Source organism: Homo sapiens, chromosome 2 (genome assembly GCF_000001405.40).
Source record: "Homo sapiens chromosome 2, GRCh38.p14 Primary Assembly".
Classification (NCBI taxonomy): domain Eukaryota; kingdom Metazoa; phylum Chordata; class Mammalia; order Primates; family Hominidae; genus Homo; species Homo sapiens.
The window spans coordinates 46,517,803-46,538,549 of NC_000002.12; the positions used below are offsets into that span (position 1 = coordinate 46,517,803).

The 20,747-nt window shown below is 43.0% G+C and overlaps 1 protein-coding gene across 12 annotated transcripts in view; it reads right to left on the reverse strand.

The window, feature by feature from the left end:
• ATP6V1E2 (ATPase H+ transporting V1 subunit E2) overlaps positions 1-20,747 on the reverse strand; it is a 30,731-nt gene that overhangs the window by 5,956 nt on the left and 4,028 nt on the right. For 3 of the 12 annotated variants that reach the window (XM_017005225.2, XM_011533148.4, XM_011533152.4), the window contains 4 exons: positions 18,809-18,901; positions 18,011-18,125; positions 10,139-10,245; positions 1,143-1,841 (listed from right to left, as the gene is read on the reverse strand). The gene's annotated coding sequence lies outside the window, so the exon portion shown is untranslated. Of the gene's footprint in view, positions 1-1,142; positions 1,842-10,138; positions 10,246-18,010; positions 18,126-18,808; positions 18,902-19,573; positions 19,775-20,747 lie in introns of all 12 variants that reach the window. The other 9 variants (XM_047446257.1, NM_001371282.1, NM_001371281.1 and 6 more) reach the window with 5 other exon arrangements.

The window sequence follows — 20,747 nt, forward strand, 5'->3', positions numbered from 1 at the left end:
CCTGACAGGATGGTCATTATTTTTTAAAAAAAGAAGAAAGAAAAAGAAAATAACAAGTGTTGGCAAGGATGTGCAGAAACTGGAACTCCTGTGCACTGGGTTGGTGGGAATGTAAAATGATGCAGCTGCTATGGAACACAGTATGGTGGTTATTCAACAAGTTAAAAATGGAATTACCATGTAATCCAGCAATCCCACTTCTGTTCAAAAGAACTGAAAATAGAATCTTGAAGAAATGTTTGCACACCAATGTTCAGGGAAGCATTATTCAAAATAGCCAAGAGGTAGAAACAATCTACAAGCTTACTGATGGATGGATAAAAACAGTGTGGTGTATACATAAAATGGAATATTATAAAGCCTTAAAAAGGAAGAAAATCCTGTCACATGTTACAACATAGATGGACTTTGAGGACATAATTCTAAGTAAAATAAGCCCATGATAGAAGATTAAATACTGCATGATTCCACTTATGGGATATCTAAAGTAGTCAAACTCATGGAACCAGGAAATATTAACAGAATGACACTTTCCAGGGGTGGGGGTAGGGGAAATGGGGTTCTGTTCAATGGGTGTAGTTTTCGTGATGCAAGATGAAAAAGTTCTAGAGACCTGCTGTACAGTAACGTACATACAGTTAACAGTACTGTACCATACTCTTAAACATTTGTTACACACACACACACAACACACACACACACACACACACACACACACACACAAATGCTATCCCAGAAACCCGTACCACTTCCCAAGCTTGGTGGAAAAACCACCCAGTGTTTGTGACAAAGACCAAGCCCTTGGGTTCAATCTTACAAAATGTCATTAGAAGTCAGAAAGAAAATTTATTTGGGCCATCCACTCCTCATTACTTTAGGATGTACTTTTAAAAAAAACCTGCATTTTGTAACTACAGCAAAAGCATTTTCTGCTCCTAAATAAGACAAGTCAATTTTGTGTGTGTGTGTGTGTGTGTGTGTGTGTGTGTGTGTGTGTGTGTGTGTGTGTTTTAAGGCTCCCCGGGTAACCGTGATGCTGACCAGCTTTAGGAACCACTGTCAATGAAAGCAGACATAGTACAAGGTCTAGGAAGCCCCAGGTTACGTGTATATAGGAAGAAATATATCAGGTGAAGCCTTACCAGTCCCCTGCCAGGGGCCTGCCTTTGCTCTGGCGTTGGGAGTCTGCACACAGAATGTGGAACTTGGAACGCACGCTGGAACCTGGCACTGTTGCTTCCTTCTTTGTACAGATGACCCTTGCAGTCTGACCAGGCAGCTTGAATCCAAAGAGCCAGGCTGTCACTGGGGAAGGCTGGCCAAGTCTGCCAAGAGGAGGCTAAAAGGGATTTCCTTGGCACCCGGGGCCATGACGGGGGTTATCCTTGCACACTCAGAATCTCAGTTAAGTTGGCACATGGTAGCCTTTAGCTCTGGGGCGGGCTCACCTTAACAGGTATGCATGGTGACCCAGGCAGCCAGTTTGCTAATTTACTAATGAAAAATACAGCTGTCATGTTGGCGGATCATGGTCTCCTTTCCCTCTATGTGAGTTGCACGTGAAGCCAAATCTGAAGGTTGTTTAATAAGAAACCAGCACAAGCAAAATTCACCAGATGGTCTTTAAGAGAGCCACACCCACAACAGGGGATGCTGTGTTCCAGCTCATGAGGGAGGGCATCCTCTTCATGCCCAGACAGGGCCTAATGGGCATCACCAGCTTCCACGGTGTCGGCGTGGACTCTGCAGTCAGACTGACGGAATTCAGATCCTGGTTCTGCACTTACCATTTGTACGACTTTGGCAAAGCAGTATACCCCTCAAGCCCTCAGTTTCTTCATCTGTATAATAAAAATAATAGCAGCTACATCATTGGATTATTGTAAGGATTAAATGAAAGAAGTGAGACGTTTAACACAATGTTAGGCATGGTTAATCTTCATGTCTGGTAGTTATTATTATCATCATGACCACTACTACTATTATTGTCCTCGTCTCCTCTGATTTAGGCCTCACTCTTCATCATAGTTGTTCTGTGTGTACAGGATACCTATGAATGATTAGGTTTCCACTCACTAAAGTGGAAACATATTCTAGTCTTGCCTGTTTGTAATAAACTTAGCAGCCCTGCCTGGAGTTGGTGACCCTCCTCTCCACAACACTTCATGGTACCTTTGCCCACAGTCTCAGGTGACCAGTCATATCCTTTGTGATGGTGGTGGAAGCTCCTGAATCCCAGGATTCTGAACTGGGGATGAGGTGGAAGTCATCTCACAGCCTGTCACACATCCTTGTGCCTGAATCTGCATCCTGAGTTCTTGTGTCCCCTCCCTGCACTCCCACTTCTAAATAGCTCATTAGTGCTGGGACATGAAGGCAGCTGCAGGGCAGGGCAGGGTTAAAAGGCAGGGATTGAGCAAGTCCCTCTGCAGGAAAGCGTGTGCCCATGTAATGTGTCTAGCAGATGTAACTTCTCGTCTGTCTGGGATGGAGATTATGAGCCCACATGGGCCTGTGACTTGAGCAAAACAACAAAACAAACCAAGAAATGTGAAACGCACATGCCTGTCCTTATACGAGGGCTCAGACACTTCTACCCTGCTGAAGCAGGTGGATGCTCTAAGTGGCACCCACTCCGCCTGTGCTGGGGACAGCAGAAGGGGCCCTCCAAGCCAGACTCGGCTCTCGTGAACCCTTCACGACTGGGGCCTCCCCGCTAAAACAGCCTCATTCCCACTTAACAGCTTTGGCTCATGCTGTTGTCTTGGCTATAATGCTTCCCTCCACTTAATAAATCCTGCCCATATATTCAGGCCCAGTTTAAGCCCCACCACTCCTTGATCTCTGGACTCCTCCTCCAAATGACAGCATGGTCTGTTTTCCAGATACAATTCAGAGCTGGATTCGGTGTTTGTTTTTCCAGTTATTTTTGCTTCCTCTAGGAAACTTCTTTGAAAATGAGACTCTCCTTCCCTAGCAGGGGCTGGGTGCAGATAGGTGTTCATTTAACGTGGATTGATTGGATTAAGGGCTTGGGGATGGAAGGGAGGCTTTTTTTTTTCTTTTTTGCCTTTTTCAAAATTATGAAATACAAAATGCAGTCAGACAAGTACATGAAACGGCAATGTCTGGCTTAATGAATATTACGAGGCAAATATCCTGTAACCACCATCCAGATCAAGAGAACATTACCAGCATCCCAGAAGCCTCTCCATATGACCTTTGGGAAGCAGACATTTCCAAACTGGTGATTGTATATCTGTGGGCGTGGGAAAGGTCTTTATTTCATTTTTAGAAATGGGTCTCACCATTTTGCTGAGGCCGATATCAAATTCTTGGGCTCAAGCAATCCTCCCACCTTGGCCTCCCAAAGTGCTGGGATTATGGCCATGGGCTACCATGCCTGGCCTGGGAAGGATCTTTAGAGGAAGTGTGAGCTGGGAAATCTCTTCTTGGGCCCTTGCCCACATGAGCTTGTGAGTATCTTGGGGAAGTACCAAATCCACAGCACCATGAGAGGGAGGAGGCAGCCGCAGGGAGTTCTTGGTGGGCAAAATATGTCTGTCAACCTGGAGCCCTGCCCAGACCCTGAAGCAACTGTTCTTCATTCCAGCTGGGATTTGTAAGCAAATATGAGGTCAGATGTGTCTGGGTGTGTGCTTCCTACCCCTAGCCAAAAGGGAAGCAGGACCAAACGTGGGCCTCCAGACACTTAGAGATTGCAGACTGAGGAAGGAGGAGAAGGGGCTTTCCAGAGCTTGGAGCACAGGGCAACTTACAGGGCCCAGGAAGTGGGTGAGAAAATGTAGAGAAGTAATGACTCCTTTGGGGGATTTTAAATATTGAGTATGTGGAAGTGGGGCATCCCCTCTTCTGTCTTTCTTTCTTCTCTTTTTCTTTTTCTTTGAGACAGAGTCTCACTCTGTCGCCCAGACTGGAGTGCAGTGGTGCGATCTTGGCTCACTGCAACCTCTGCCTCCTGGGTTCAAGCGATTCTCCTGCCTCAGCCTCCCGAGTAGTTGGGACTACAGGTGCATGCCACCACACCCGGCTAATTTTTTGTATTTTTAGTAGAGGCGGAGTTTCACTGTGTTAGCCAGGATGGTCTCGATCTCCTGACCTCGTGATCCACCCGCCTCAGCCTCCCAAAGTGCTGGGATTACAGGTGTGAGCCACTGCGCCAGGCCCTGTCTTTCAAAAAGTATTTTTTGGCTGGGTGAGGTGGCTTATGCCTGTAATCCCAACATTTTGGGAGGCAGAGGTAGAGGATTGCTTGAGCCCAGGAGTTCACAGTGGGCATCACAGTGGGACCACATCTCTACAAATTTTTTTTTTTAATTAGCCAGGAATGATGGTGTGCGCCTGTGGTCCTAGCTACGTGGGAGGCTGAAGTGGGAGGATTGCTTGAGAGGTCGAGGTTGCAGTGAACCAAGACCGTGCCATTGCACTCCAGCCTGGGCGACAGACGGAGACTCTGTCTCCAAAAAAAAAAAAAGGATAATGGCAGAACGTGCAGGTTTGTTACACAGGTATACGTGTGTCATAGTGGTTTGCTGCACTTATTGACCCATCCTGTAAGTTTCCTCCCCTAACCCCCACCCCCCAAAAAGCCCTGGTGTGTGATGTTCCCCTCCCTGTGTCCATGTGTTCTCAATGTTCAACTTCCACTATGAGTGAGAACATGCAGTGTTTGGTTTTCTATTCCTGCATTACTTTGCTGAGGATGATGGCTTCCAGCTTCATCCATGCCCCTGTAAAGGATATGATCTCATTCCTTTTTATGGCTGCATAGTATTCCATGGTGTGTATGTACTACATTTTCTTTATCCAATCTATCACTGATGGGCATTTGGGTTGGTTCCAAGTCTTTGCTTTATAATTAGTGCTGCAATAAACATACATGTGCATGTGTCTTTATAGTAGAATGATTTATAATCTTTTGGGTATATACCCAGTAATTGAATTGCTGGGTCAAATGCTATTTCTGGTTCTAGATCCTTGAGGAATTGCCACACTGTCTTCTTACAATGGTTGAACTAATTGACATTCCCACCAACAGTGTAAAAGTGTTCCTATTTCTCTACGGCCTCACTGGCATCTATTGTTTCCTGACTTTTTAATAATTGCGATTCTGACTGGCATGAGATGGTATCTCATTGTGGTTTTGATTTGCATTTCTTTGAAGATCAGTGATATTCAGCTTTTTTTCATATGTTCATTGGCCATGTAAATGTCTTCTTTTGAGAAATGTCTGTTCATATCCTTTGCCCACTTTTTGATGTTTTTTTTTAATTGTAAATATGTTTAAGTTCCTCGTAAATTCTGGATATTAGACCTTTGTCAGGTGAGTAGATTGAAAAAATTTTCTCCCATTCTGTAGGTTGCCTGTTCACTCTGATGATAGTTTCTTTTGCTGTGCAGAAGCTCTTTAGTTTAATTAGATCCCATTTGTGAATTTTGGCTCTTGTTGCAATTGCTTTTGGCATTTTTGTCATGAAGTCTTTGCCCATTCCTATGTCCTAAATTGTATTGCCTAGGTTTTCTTCTAGGGTTTTTATGGTTTGGGGTTTTACATTTAAGTCTTTAATCCATCTCAAGTTAATTTTTACATAAGGTGTAAGGAAGGGGTCCAGTTTCAGTTTTCTGCATATGGCTAGTCAGTTTTCCCAGCATCACTTACTGAATAGGAGATCCTTTCCCCATTGCTTGTTTTTGTCAGGTTTTTCGAAGATCAGATGGTTGTAGATGTGCGATGTTATTTCTGAGGTCTCTGCTCCATTGGCCTATATGTCTGTTTTGGTACCAGTACCATGCCGTTTTGGTTACTGTAGCCTTGTAGCATAGTTTGAAGTCAGGTAGTGTGATGCCTCCAGCTTGGTTCTTTTTGCTTAGGATTATCTTGGCTATATGGGGTCTTCTTTGATTCCATATAAAATTTAAAATAGTTTTTTTTTAATTCTGTGAAGAATGTCAATGGTAGTTTAATGGGAATAGCACTGAATCTATAAATTACTTTGGGCAGTATGGGCATTTTCATGATATTGATTCTTCCTATCCATGAGAATGGAATGTTTTTCCATTTGTTTGTGTCCTCTCTTATTCCTTGAGCAGTGGTTTGTAGTTTTCCTTGAAGAGGTCCTTCACATCCCTTGTTAGCTGTGTTCCTAGGTATTTTATTCTCTTTGTAGCGATTGTGAATGGGAGTTCATTCATGATTTGGCTCTCTGCTTGCCTATTGTTAGTGTAAAGGAATACTTGTGTTTTTGCACATTGATTTTGTATCCTGAGATTTTGCTGAAGTTGCTTATCAATTCGACAAGTTTTTGGGCTGAGATGATGGGGTTTTGTAAATATAAAATCATGTCGTCTGCAAACAGCAACTTGACTTCCTCTCTTCCTATTTGAATACACTTTATAATGTATTGTTGACCTGAAGATGTTTAAACCAGGTAGGGGATGGTTTGAGACCTTCCATGGGTAACAACAGAACACCAATAGGGAGGGAGGGAAATGAAGATACATGAAAGAACATAAGGCAATTTCGGAAAACTCAGACAAGAAAATGAGGTTTCAGGGCACATCAACATAGTACCTTAACTTGGAGGCAAGTCACCTGGAAAATGTAGAAAGTTGGTAGTATTTATTAAGCAGAATTTATCCAAATAGACAAAAATCAATCACATCTTTATGGAGACCCAACTTTAAGCAATGCCTTGTGGTTTCAGAGAGGGCCCTGGTTTAAAATAGGAGAAAAGCATCTGGCACTCAAAATGGGATGGGATAAGGGGCAGGAAAGGACACAGCCAGACTGACTGCACACTTCAGCCGAGGTAGCAGCCCTGTGGGCAAGGGGCCAGTCAGGGAGGGAGTAGTAAGGATGGGCGCTGAGAGATGGACCGTCATCATAAGCAGAAAGAAAGTAAGACACTGGATGGGGAGAACACTGCGGGCAAAGGCCTGCTGGTGGAAAGGGGTCTGAGGTCTGCGTGTGGAGAGCAGGTGGGTTTGGCAGTAGTCAAGAGACTTGCAGAGGACAATGTCTAGAAAGACACTGGGGTGTGAATGGGAAAGGGTGGAAATGTCTGCCTGAGAGTTGGGGCATTATGCAAAAGAGCCCATCAAAGGCTTCTTAGCAGGGCTGTACCTTCGCCAAACCTGGACTCAGGAAGATCAGCCTGGGGGTGGTGGGGGCAGGAGTCTTGGACTATATGCCAAAAGCCAGAGGGAGCCTGTACACAGCGAGGGCCAGGACACAAGACAAGGCATCGCGATTGGAAGGAAGAGATGTGGCCCACAAGCTGTTGGGTGTCAGGTCTGAGGACTCAGCCTCTGGCTACACAGAACAGAGCAGCTCAGCTTGGGGTGAGGTTGTGAGAAAGCAGGGACAGGCGGCCGGGCGCGGTGGCTCACGCCTGTAATCCCAGTACTTTGGGAGGCCGAGGCGGGCGGATCACGAGGTCAGGAGATCGAGACCACGGTGAAACCCCGTCTCTACTAAAAATTCAAAAAATTAGCCGGGCGCAGTGGCGGGCGCCTGTAGTCCCAGCTACTCGGGAGGCTGAGGCAGGAGAATGGCGTGAACCCGGAAGGCGGAGCTTGCAGTGAGCCGAGATCGCGCCACAGCACTCCCGCCTGGGCGACAGAACGAGACTCCGTCTCAAAAAAAAAAAAAAAGAAAAAAAAAAAAGAAAGCAGGGACAGGCACCCTGCTCCCTGGCGAGCAAGCTTGGGAGAGAAGGCAAGGGCGAGAGAGTTCATTTGGTCTAGAAGTAACAGGAGACACCTGGAGAGAAAATCAGAAGGGCCTGAAAAGCTTCATCTCTGCTTCAGTTGCTGATGAGTAAGGAGCCACATAGAGTTTTATTCCAAGAACTCCACTCACACTGGCAAAGCAGGCTTTGGTCAGGACTGGAGAAAGCTAATGCCTACAGGCAGGGGAAGAAACCTTTCTCCCAAAATAATTTACATGAAGAATTCACAACTGAATTTCTCCTTCTAAAACATCTGCAGACAGCTTACTTCAAAGCAGTCAGGTTCTCCCCAAGAGTCATTTGCTTCAAAGCTGCATATCTAGAAGTTTCCAGTGGCAGTTTCTCCAAAAAAAAAAAAAAGCCCTTCATTTCCATCCCTGTCTAAAGGGGCAAATACTTCCCCGGTCTGTTGCCTTAGAAAATGTGGACTAGGATGTCATAAGATCTGATTTTTTAGAGAAGTTGGAAATCCTGTTTTAAAAGTGAAACCTTTTTTGTTTTATTGTAGTAAAATGTACATAACAAATTTTGCCATTTAACCATTTTTAAGTGTACATTATTTATTATTATTATTATTTTGAGACGGAGTTTCACTCTTGTTGCCCAGGCTGGAGTGCGGTGGTGTGATCTCGGCTCACTACAACCCCCGCCTCCTGGGTTCAAGTAATTCTTGTGCCTCAGCCTCCCGAGTAGCTGGGACTACAGGCGTGCATCACCATGCCTGGCTAATTATGTATTTGTAGTAGAGATGGGTTTTCACCATGTTAGCCAGACTGGTCTTGAACTCCTGGACCTTCAGTGATCCACCTGCCTCAGCCTCCCAAAGTGCTGGGATTACAGGTGTGAACCACCACACCCTGCCTTTTTAAGTGTACATTTATGTAGCATTAAGAATATTCACATGGTTTTGCAACTATCACCACCATCTCCAGAACTTTTTCGTCTTCCCAAATTTAAACTCTGTATCCATTAAACACTAATCCCACATACTCTTCCCCAAGTAACTGTTGGCAACCACCATTCTACTTCCTGTCTCTGTGAATTTGAGTACTCCAGGTACCTCATATAAATAGAATCATAATATTTGTCCTTCCTTGGCTGGCTTATTTCACTTAGTATGATGTCTTCAGGATTCCCCATGTTGTAGCACAGGTCAGAATTTCCTTCCTTTTTATGGCTGGATATTTCATTGTGTGTATATACCATATTTTGTCTATTCATCCATTCATAGAGACTTGGGGTGCTCTCCTTTCTTGGCTGTTGTGAATAATGCTGCTATGAACATGGGTATATAAATATCTGTTCAAAGACCTGCTTTCACTTCTTTGGGGTATATGCCTAGAAGTAGAATTGCTGGATCATATAGTAGTTCTAAGCTCAGTGTTTTGAAGAACATCTGCACCATTTTCCCCGGCAGCCGCACTATTTTACAGTTCACAGCAATGCACATGGGTTCCAGTGTTTCCACATCTTTGCCAGTACTTGCTGTTTTCTGGTTTTGTTTTTGTTTTTTTTCTTTCTTTTGTGTCTTGGCTCTGTTGCCCAGGTTGGAGTGTAGTGGCATGATCATAGCTCACTGCAGCCTCAAACTCCTGGCTCAAGCAATCTTCCCACTTCAGCCTCCTGAGTAGCTGGGACTACAGGTGCACACCATCGTGTCTAATTTTTATTTATTTATTTATTTTTGAGACAGAGTCTCACTCTGTCGCCCAGGCTGGAGTGCAGTGGCGTGATCTCAGCTCACTGCAAGCTCTGCCTACCGGGTTCACGCCATTCTCCTGCCTCAGCCTCTCGAGTGGCTGGGACTACAGGCACCTGCCACCATGCCCGGCTAATTTTTTGTATTTTTAGTAGAGACAGGGTTTCACCATGTTAGCCAGGATGGTCTCGATCTCCTGACCTCGTGATCTGCCCACCTTGGCCTCCCAAAGTGCTGGGATTACAGGCGGGAGCTACCGCGCCCGGCTAGTCCAACTAATTTTTAAATTTTTTTGTAGAGGAAGGAGTCTCACTTTGTTGCCCAGGCTGGTCTTGAACTTTTGGCCTCAAGTGATCCTCCCCTTCAGCCTCCCAAAGTGCTGGGATTACAGGTGTGAGCCACCACGCCTGGTCCTGGGTTTGTTGTTGTTGTTGTTTTTTGTTTTTAAATAATAGCCATCCTAATGGATATGAAATTACCCATTGTGGTATCATTGTGGTTTTGATTTGCATTTCCCTAATGATAAGTGATATTAAGCATCTTTTCATGCACTTATTGGCCATTTGCTTATCTTCTTTGGAAACTGTCTACTCAAGTTCTTTGCCCATTTTTAAAATCAGGTTGTTTGTTTTTTTGTTGTTGTTGAGTTATAGAGGTTCTTTATCCCTCTGTGGTCCTGAGCACTCACCTCCAGCCACAAGCCAGTGCACTCAGCCAGCAGAGACCTGCATTGGGTGTCTCCAAGTGTGAACCGTGACCGTTTGGTGGACTATGAAATCATTTACTGGATCATCACTGAATAAAAAGAAATGAAACCAAATAGAATCAAAAATCCAGAATTCATTACAGGTGGTAAGGTTAAGTATTGTTATATCAAACCTTTTGTTATATGTATAGATATATGTGCACACACACAAACATAATATATGTATGTGTATGTATTCCAGTTTACAATGAAAAATGTATTTGTTAACTGCAATTTGCAGGACAAAATATTTGAGAAACACTGCACTACAAGTTAAATAAATTCACCCTTCTTAGAAAGCAGTGAAGCAACCATCAGTTGTTACTTAAGAAGATCTTGGAAGGTCTCATGTACCCACTCAATCCACTTGTCAAAGTATTCACCCCCCAAAATAGCCCTCTTTGAAGGTGGGAACAGGGTGGTGGTAGTGATCTGAGAGTCTGGCTGCATGGCATATGAGCAGTTTATATGGTTAATAGTTAGTGGGCATGCCCACATGCTGGGTAGACATGGGACATCACAGGATGGTGACTCCTCCAGGGCAGGACTCCCTTCTCCCGCCTCATGAGGGTGGAAACCAGGCTGCCCCTGGAACAGGAGGTCTCCCTCTGCCTTGGAGGCTCCATGGGCAGCCGCTTGGTGTCACAAGATGCATCCAGGACTGGGCATCAGAGGTTCAGACCCCAGTCCTGATGCTACTCGTAGGTTGGGCAATCTGGATAAAGGCTGACAATCTGCCTCAATTCACCTAGAGACACAAAACTACTTCTGTAAAACCAGGATGTTGATGAAGAGTTCTGTTGTCCTCACAGTGGAGCTGAGAAGGCCGAATAGTGGAAGAAGCAAACAAGTTTTGTAAAGTGAGAGAGAAATATCAGATGCTGTCTTTCACAAAGCCCATGGGTTTGTCTTTCCCTGCCCATGGGTTCCCAGAGCCCCTCATTCTGCCCTTCCTAGAACCATACTCCTAGAGCTGCCTATGGAGAAGTTGGCCCAGGCTGGAGGTCAGAGCCCCAGGCAGCCTCCAGAGGGGCCAAGGGTAGGTATGAAGTCAGCAAGGAGCCCTGGGAAATAGCCCTTCAGAGGCAGCTGGCTGCCCAAGCCTCCATCCAACCTGTAAGTCGTGGGTAGGGACAGCCCCAAGAGGGAGGGCAGGAACACCAGAAGCAGTGTCTACTAGTCCTCAGCCTTGAGTTACACATTCAGATGCCCAACACTGCTATGATACTGACTTAATTCTCACCATGACAAGTCCTGGCTGGCCTCACATTTGCTGTTAGACACAGCTCAACCTATAATGCAGGGAAGGTACTGGTTTGCAAGGAAAAGACTGTACCCATTCAGTGCTGTCCCTCACCATGCCTAGGGGCTTCCTCAGTGATCTTCTTGGGAAGAGGACTATTTCTGACCCACTCTGCACTCATCTCAACCCTGCCCACAGAGTCTAGTACATAGCAGTAGCTTAATAATGATTTGGCTGGGTGTGGTGGCTCACGCCTGTAATCCCAGTGCTTTGGAAGGCCAAGGCAGGAGGATTGCTTGAGGCCAGGAGTTTGAGACCAGCCTGGGAAACATAGCAAGACCCCATCTCTACAAAAAATTTTAAAAATGAGCTAGGCATGATGGTGTGCACCTATGGTCTCAGCTACTCAGGAAGCTGAGGCGGGAGGATCACTAGAGCCCAGGCATTTGAGGCTGCAGTGAGCCGTGATTGTGCCACTGCACTCCAGCCTGGGTAACAGAGTGACATCTGTCTTTAATGATGATGATGATGATGATAATAATAATAATAACAATTTATTGAACCCATGGATGAATGATTTGGGTGGTGAGGAAGTAGTTTCCCCAATAGACTCTCAACAATCTTAGGAATTTGCAACCTTCTTCGAGTTGAAGGAGATGGGGGTACAAAGATGATGAACGTCAGGGTGATGCAGTGGCCTGATCAGGGCACTCAGGGAGCTCAGGGTAGGAAATGTTTTCGAACCAGAAAGAAATTATTTCAGTATATTTATAACCTGTCCTGTTACATTGTTGCAAAGGGGGTTGAAGGATATCCCTGACTGTAAGGCATCTGCTGGAAATTCCCACCTTTAACTGAAGGTCTCAGGATCACTCAATTCAGGCCACAACTGCACATCTCCAGAATGCAGCTCAGTCTCCTACCACCTACATACAGAGCCCTCTCCTCTTCCAGCCCCAGGATTCCCTGGTCCCTACAGCATGTGAGACACCAGGATGGCGCCAGGAGAGAAGCACTGGGCTGAACAGAAGCTGAGAAGAGGTTCAGGCCTGTGCACAGTAAAGGGATGATGGTGGTGGGTGGGGTGGTCATGCCCCCAATTCTGCCACTATCTCAGGGTAGGTCAGGCATCCACCTCTCAGGAACCAAGAACCATCATCCTCCTCCCTTCTCCAATATTCATTTCAGAGGTCAAACAGTTTGTCATTTAGGTCTTCAAACACAAAGGTTCTCATTATTACCCGCTTTCCCTGGCCACCTGCCCTGCACTCTCCTCAAGTGTTATTATATATGATATAATTATCAGTATGGCTGGATTTAAGTCTTTTATCTTGCTATTTGTTTTCCATTGTAACCAGCTATTCTTTCTTCCTTTTTTCCTCTTTTCCTGATGTATTAGTTTGTTCTCACACTGCGAATAAAGACATAACCAGGACTGGGTAATATATAAAGGAAAGAGGTTTCATTGACTCACAGTTCAGCATGTCTGGGGAGGCCTTACAATCATGGCAGAAAGCAAAGGGGAAGCAAGACACGTCTTACATGGCAGCAGGCAAGAGAAAGCTTGTACAGGGGAACTCCCCTTTGTAAAACCATCAGATCTCATGAGACTTATTCACTAGCGCAAGAACAGCACAGGAAAAACCCAAGCCCATGATTCAGTTACTTCCCACCGGGCCCCTCCCGTGGCACGTGGGAATTATGGGAGCTACAATTCAAGATGAGATTTGGGTGAGGACACAGCCAAACCATATTACCTGACTTTTTTTCTCTTGGTTGGTGAATACGTTTTTTGAAATTGAGGTGAATTTAAAGTAATATTTCAGTAGCATTTATTACATTCACAAGGTTGTACAACCATTGCCTCTATCTAGCTTCAAAACACTTTTATCACTCCAAAAGGAAACCTCATATTCATTAAGCAGTTGCTCCTCATTTTCCCTTCAAACCCTACCATCCCCAGCCCATAGCAACCACCAACTTACATTCTGTCTATGAATTTACCTGTTCTGGATATTTCATGTAAATGGAAACATACAACATATAGCATTTTGTGTCTGGCTACTTTCACTTAGCATAACGTTTTTGAGATTCATCCACATTGTAGCAGCTGTCAGTACTTCATTACTTTTTATGGCTCAATAATATTCCACTGTATCCATATACCACAATTTATCCATTCACCAGTTGATAAACATTTGAGCTGTCTTCACCTTTTGGCTACTGGGAATAGTGCCACTGTGAACATGGTATGCACATGTATTTATTTGAGGATGTGTTTTCAATTCTTTTGGATATATACCTAGCTCTAGAATTGCTGGGTCATATTGTAATTCTATAATTAACTTTTTCAAAGACCTTCGAACTGTTTTCCAGAGGTTGAACCATTTTACGTTCCCACCAGCAATCTAAAGGGTTCCAATTTCTTCACATCTTCACCAACACTTATTTTCCTTCCCCCACCCCTAATTATAGCCATCCTAGTGGGTGTAAAGGGGTACCTCATTGAGGTTTTTATTTACATTTACCTAATGACTAACTACTAATGATGTTGAATACCTTTTCATGTGCTTGTTGGTGATTTATATCTTGTTTGGAGAAATGTCTGTTCAAGTCTTTTGCCCCTTTAAAAAAATAAACTATTTGTCATTTTATTGTTGAATGATAAGAGAACTTTATACATTCTGGATGCTAGAGTCTTATGAGCTATTTAATTTGTAAGTATTTTCTCTCATTCTGTATGCTGTCTTTTCACTTTCTTGATAATGTCCTTTGAAGCAGAAAAGTTTTGTAATTTTTATGAAGTCCAGTTTTGGTTTTACTTTTGTTGTTATGCTTTTGACATCATATATAAGAAACTGTTGATCTATCCCTAGGTTTTCTCCTAAAAGTTTATGGTCTTAGCTCATGTCTTTTGGTTGTCAATTCATTTTGAGTAAATGTCTGTATATGTTGAGAGGGAAAGATCCAGACTCATTCTTTTGCTTGTGGATATCTAGTTTGTCTCATCACCATTTATTGAAGAGACTACTGTTTTCCTAAGACCATTGAATGATCTTGGCACCCTCCTGACTTCCTTTTTGATTTTTTTTTTTTTTTTGGTATTCCACTTTGTCTTTACTGTTGGCTTATTAAAAAGACCTCTTTGCTTTATTTATGTATTTATGTATGTATTTATTTATTTATAGTGATTGCTCTAGGTTTTACAACATGCATCTTTAAGTTTTCTTAGTCTACCTTTGTTATAGTTTGAATGTATGTGTCCTTCCAAAATTTATGTTGGAACTTAAACCCCAAGGTGATAGTATTAAGAGGTGGAAACTTTGGGAGGTAATTTGGAAGGGGAGAGCCCTCATGGATGGGATTAGTGCCCTTATAAAAGGGCTTAAGAGTTTTTTGTTGTTTGTTTTAACCCCCTTTTCCCTTCTACCATGTGAGGTCATAGTGTTTGTTCCTTTCCCTCTGGAGCATGCAGCAACAAAATGCCATCTTGGAAGCAGAGCGTGAGCCCTCACCAGATGCCAAATCTGCTGATTCCTTGATCTTAGACTTCCCAGCCTCTAGAACTAAGAGAAATGAACTTTTATTATTTATGAATGACCCAGTCTATGGTAGATTGCTATGACAGCAGGAAGAGACTAAGACAACCTTCAGATAACACTATATCATTTAATGCGCAATGTAAGGATTTTATAAGAATATAGTTCTATTTCTGTTTTTCTATCCCTTTTGTTATTATTGTTATAGGTTCTATTTCTACATGTTATAAACCATGTAATATACTGCTATTAGTTTTGCCTTAGATGGTCAATTGTGTTTTTTATTTTTTTAATTATATATATATATCTAACATTATATATCTAACATTATATTATATATCTAATGTTATATTATATACCTAACATATTATATATCTAACATTATATATAATGTTATATCATATATAGTGTGTGCATGTATGTGTAGATAGATAGATAGATAGATAGATAGATAGATAGATAGATAGATAGATAGAATGGTTTGGGGTTTTTTTGTTTTGTTTTGTTTTTTTGAGACATGGTCTGGCTCTATCACTCAGACTGGAGTGCAGTGGCATGATCTCAGCTCATGCAGCCTTGAACTCCTGGGCTCAAGTGATCTTTCCACCTCAGCCACCTGAGTAGCTGGGACTATAGGAGTGTGCCACCACACCCAACTATATTTTTGTATTTTTTGTAGAGATGGGGTTTTGCCATGTTGCCTAGGCTGGTCTTAAACTCTCCAGCTCAAGCAATATACCTGCCTCAGCCTCCAAAAGTTCTGGGATTACAGGTGTGAGCCACCATACCCGGCCAAGGTCAATTATGTTTTAAAGGAATTTTGTAACAGAGAAAGAAATGTCTCATATTTACCCATATATTTACCATTTCTGGTGCTCTTCATTTCTTTGTGTAGGTCAGTGGTTTCATGTGGTACCATGTTTTTTCTGCCTCGGGAACTTTATTTTGTATTTCTTGTATTGAAGATCTTCTGGTTTAAAAAAAACTTTAAGCCTTTTGTTGTCTGACAAACATTTATTTTACCTTCAATTTTACAGAATATTTCTGGTGGATATAGAATTCTAGATTGACAGTGCTTTCTTTTTCTTTTATCACTTTAAAGACGCGATTTCATTAAGTTCTAGTTTGCATTATTTCTGAAGAGAAGTCTGCAATTATATCTGTCTTTGTTCCCTGTATAAAATGTGTCTTTTTTTCTCTTTCTGCTTTTAATTTTTTTCTACTTATTACTGGTTTTCAGTGATTTAATTACAAAGTGCCTCGCTTGATATGGTTTGCTTTGTTTTTCTCCTACTTTGGATTTGTTGAGCTTCTTGGCGCTATACGTTTACAATTTTCATGAAATTTGGGACTTGTTTTTGGCCTTCAAATCATCACCGTTAATCCTTTTCGAGGACTCCAGTTTTTAATATCATCTTAAGGTGACTGAGGCTCTGTGTTTCTGTGTTTCTTTTGTTTCCTTTCTCTCTGCTTTAATTGGGACAGTTTCTATTGCTATGTCTTCAGTGTCACAGATATTTCATTCCACAATGTCTAACCTACTGTTAAGTTCAGCCACTGAATTATTCATTACAGGTGTTGTATTTTTTAGCTCCAGAAGTTCCATTTGGTTATTTTCTATATCTTCCAGTTTTTTCTTCACTATGTTCATGTTTTCCTTTAAATCCTTGTTTTATTTTAATTTTTTAAGTCCTTGTCTGCTAACGTTATTATCTCTGTCATTTTGGGGTTTGTTTCTATTAAATGATTTTTCTCCTGATTTTGGGTTCTATTTGCCTACTTATTTGCATATCTAGTATTTTTAACATTCTGAATTTAATGTTGTTAAATGTCTGTATTTTGTTGTTTTAAAAATGGTAAAATTTGTTTTGGCTGGCAGTTACGGTAGTAGCGGATGAACTTCCTCTTTTTGAGGCTGCTTTCTAAACCTTGTTGGAGGAAGTCTAGAGTTACCTCACTTTTCGGCTTAGTTAGCCCTTCTCCTAATGCCTTACCCTTTTGGGATTTCTACTGAATTCCCTGGACAGTCAGCAAGGTTTCTTCACATTGGCGAGTTGAAACTCAAACATTGCCCAGTGAGCCCTGGGAACCAATCAGCTCACAGCTCCGCAGTAGTTCTTTGCATCGCACTGTGAAGTTTCACCTTATGCATGTGCAGCTTAGTATTCAGCAACAGATTCACAGGGATTCCAGGAGCCTGTTTTGCTGTTATATTCTCTCCTTTCTGATACTCTGCCTTGAAAAGTCTGCTCAACTATCTCCTCAACTCAGCAAGACCACTATGCTCTGCTTGGGTTCCCCCTCATTGTGCTGCAATTTAGACAGCATTTTTCAGCAGAAAGTTAGAGTGATAGGGTTTGCCCCATTTGTTCCCTACTTTCAGGAATCACGGTGCTGTGCTACATGCTGTTCAATGTCTGAAAAGAGAGGTTTCATATATTCTGTTCAATTTTAAAGTTGCTCACATTAGAAAGGTACAGCCAATACCAGTTATTTGGGTATGGTAGAGGTGGAAATCTCTACTCCCTCTACATGAAGCACATTAATAAAGTGATCTGCTTCTCCAGTCTCTTCTCAGGAGCCTGGGTTGCAAGCAACAGAAGCTGTTTGTGGCTGATTAAACAGAAAGAAATCTTAAAAGGATCACAGGCAGGTCACAGGATTTAGAAAGGCTAGAGAAGCTGCTCAAGATAGAAACAGTGTCCGACACATGACTCAGGAACTAATTTGATGAGAAAACCACTTTCAATACCATTGCTTTCACCAAACCCTAGACAACTCATGTGTACAGTTGTCACTTCTGAACCAGGAACTCAATTATACCACAACCAACACCACTGCCTGCCCTGATGTGCCACTTCCTGGGTCAGGAACTGAACTGTGTACCCACCACTAAAGCTGCAGCCTCCAGAGACAATGTGCCCTGTATTTAACTCTGGCTACACTAGCTTTTAAGTCTGACAAGGAAAGCAAGAGTCTGTAATTTCAGCTTCTATAAGGAAGGGATATTCTTTTCTTCCCACCAAGGCTCACCATGTAGAAGATTCTTCAAACCCAAAATGTGGTTCTGATGTCCAGTGGCCAAAACATCCACTATGGAAGAACAACTCTGTGTGAGTCTTGGGATGGTTTTCTGGCACTCTTGGTTCTGAAACATAAAATAAAATCATTAATTTCATTTTTGGAGGAGGGATCTGTGATCTAGCCTCCTTTGGAGCCTATGAGAGGAGACCACTCCTAAATCATATGAGTATTCCATACCAGCAACCTCTAAGGAAATGTCCTTTCCTATAGTTCAGCAATGGGTGGTGATGCCATCAGTCACAATGACTAGTCTCCTGACCTTAGGTTGCAGCAGAAAACAGTTAGAAATGAAAATGGCAAAACATTAAGAGCGCTTGAGCCGAAGTTCTCAGAGGCTGGGCCATTCTTCTGAGTTTCTGGTATGTAATCAACTAGAAAAAGAGATCTATGTACATTCTAACTGGGAATGAAAACCAGGCAAACCAATCCTACTGGATTTATTTATCAGCGTGATCATTAGGAACCAGTGACCTTTAAGAAATTGCTGTGGTGTTTAACTCATTGCAGTGTACCTACACTGGAGTGCAAAGAGAAGAGGGTGCCAATGGGAGGTTTTAGTGGCAGGGAGAAAAATAGGGATAGGGGTAGGTAGGGCATGTGGCAGGATGCTGCAGGGAAGGCCAACAGGCACCCTGGGGAGTGAAGAGGCTGCAGTGTGAGGATTCTGGGCATTGTGGTGGGAAGAAGCATAACATAACAGCAGGGCAGCACCAGTGTTAAAGAATGCCCATCATTTTATCTCCTTACCAGTGACTTCTAAGAAGATGGTTCACAGAGGGAGAAGAATACAGGCCAAAATTAGGGATTCAGTCAGTATGGACTCCTGTATTGACAATCCACCTGAAATTTGGAACAAATCACAGATTAGATTTGGAGCCATCTCATCTTCCTCTCCTCTTAACATTTGCCTCTCTCCTAAACTTCTTTTTTTTTTTTTTGAGACAGTGTCTTGCTCTGGCGCCCAGCCTGGAGTGCAGTGGCACCATCTCAGCTCATTGCAACCTCTGCCTCCCGTTTCAAGTGATTCTCCTGCCTCAGCCTCCCGAGTAGCTGGGATTACAGGCACCCGCCACCACGCCTGGCTAATTTTTGTATTTTTAGCGGAGATGGGGTTTCACCATGTTGGCCAGGCTGGTCTCAAACTCCTGACCTCAACTGATCCTCCCATCTCGGCCTCCCAAAGTGCTGGGATTACAGGTATAAGCCACTTTGCCTGGCCTCTCCTAAAATTCTTTATTTCCAGTGTAGCCAGGGGAAGGCCTAGGAACGTTGACCCTTAGGCAATAATGTAGATGTATATTGCTGGTTGCCTCCTCAGCATGCATTCCCCCAGACTTGTCACCCACTGTGCAGAAACCACAGAACCTGGGTAGGTGTGAAACCCCAGCCCCTGTGGGGGCAGGGCTGATATGCCCAATTAGGATAGTCCCAACTCCTTGCCATAGTGATGGTTTTAGGGATGGACAGTAGCCCAGGCCTAAGGCAACAGTCACCTGACAGTTTACTACCCACCATGACTGGTTCAGGGATGAACTAAGTTGAGCTAATCAGAAGAAGTTCAAGACTTTGTTCAATGAGTGGGTCAAGAGAAGCTCTCTTTCCTTCTGGAAAACATGGTATATGGATGGTGATGCCTGGACTTGGTGCAACCATTTTGCTTCCAGGAAAGAAGGTATGCTGAGTAGAAAGTTGACTCATAGAGAAGAAGAAAAACTGAGAGATGTGCAGAAAAAAAAAAAAAGAGTTCTGATCAATTCATGCCTGAAGCTTGGACTGCTTCTGGATTTTTCCATAACAGAAGTCCATACACTTCCCTCATTGCTGAAGCTGGTTCGAGTTGAATTTTCTATGACTTGCAACCTAAAGCATCCTAGCCACAACACCAAATGATCCCTTGGAGTCCATTTTTCCATTTCCTAAGCAGACATGAGGGAACACACAAAATGATGCAAATGAATGTGTTTTAGAACATACTGTCCTCTAGAGTTCTAATCTCAGCTTGATTTAGACAGTCAGTTGCGTGGTTAGGAAACAATCGGAGATGGAAAGGCTCAAAAAGCAAGGAAGAAGTCCAAAGAAGAAGTGGGAAGATAACAACAGAGGACATTAAAAAGAAAAAAAAAAGTAGATGAAATCATAATGTAGATGCCTCAGAGTTATCGTAAAAACCTTGTTCTCTCTCGCCTCCTCTGTCATCCCCACATCCCCACACTGCTACCAAGCCCTGTGGATTCCATCATCCAAATCTCCCTGAAACCCACTGCCTCCTCTTCATGTTCACTGCCATGCTTGGGTCAGACTGTTGTGATCTGTCTCCTCCTGGCTCTTTCTGCCTTCACCCTTATCCTTTCCAAATCCATTTTCTATGAGTCTCAGAGTGACCTTCCCAAATGACAGGTCCAAGCTTGTCATTTTTTTACTCAAAAACTTTTGATACCTTGTCAATGTGGAATATGGCAAATGCATTAGCTTTGAAGAGAGATGATTTTGAAACCTAGCTCTGCCACTTACCAGCTGTGTGATCTGGGGCAAGCTTCTTAATCTCATCATCTAATGTGAACTATAGATATAATATTATAATAGGATTCCTTTGGTTACCAGTTACAGAAAACTAACCCCTACTCACTGGGCAAAAAAAAAAGGGGAAGATTTATTAACTCAAATGACAAATCAGAGAACAGTTGTG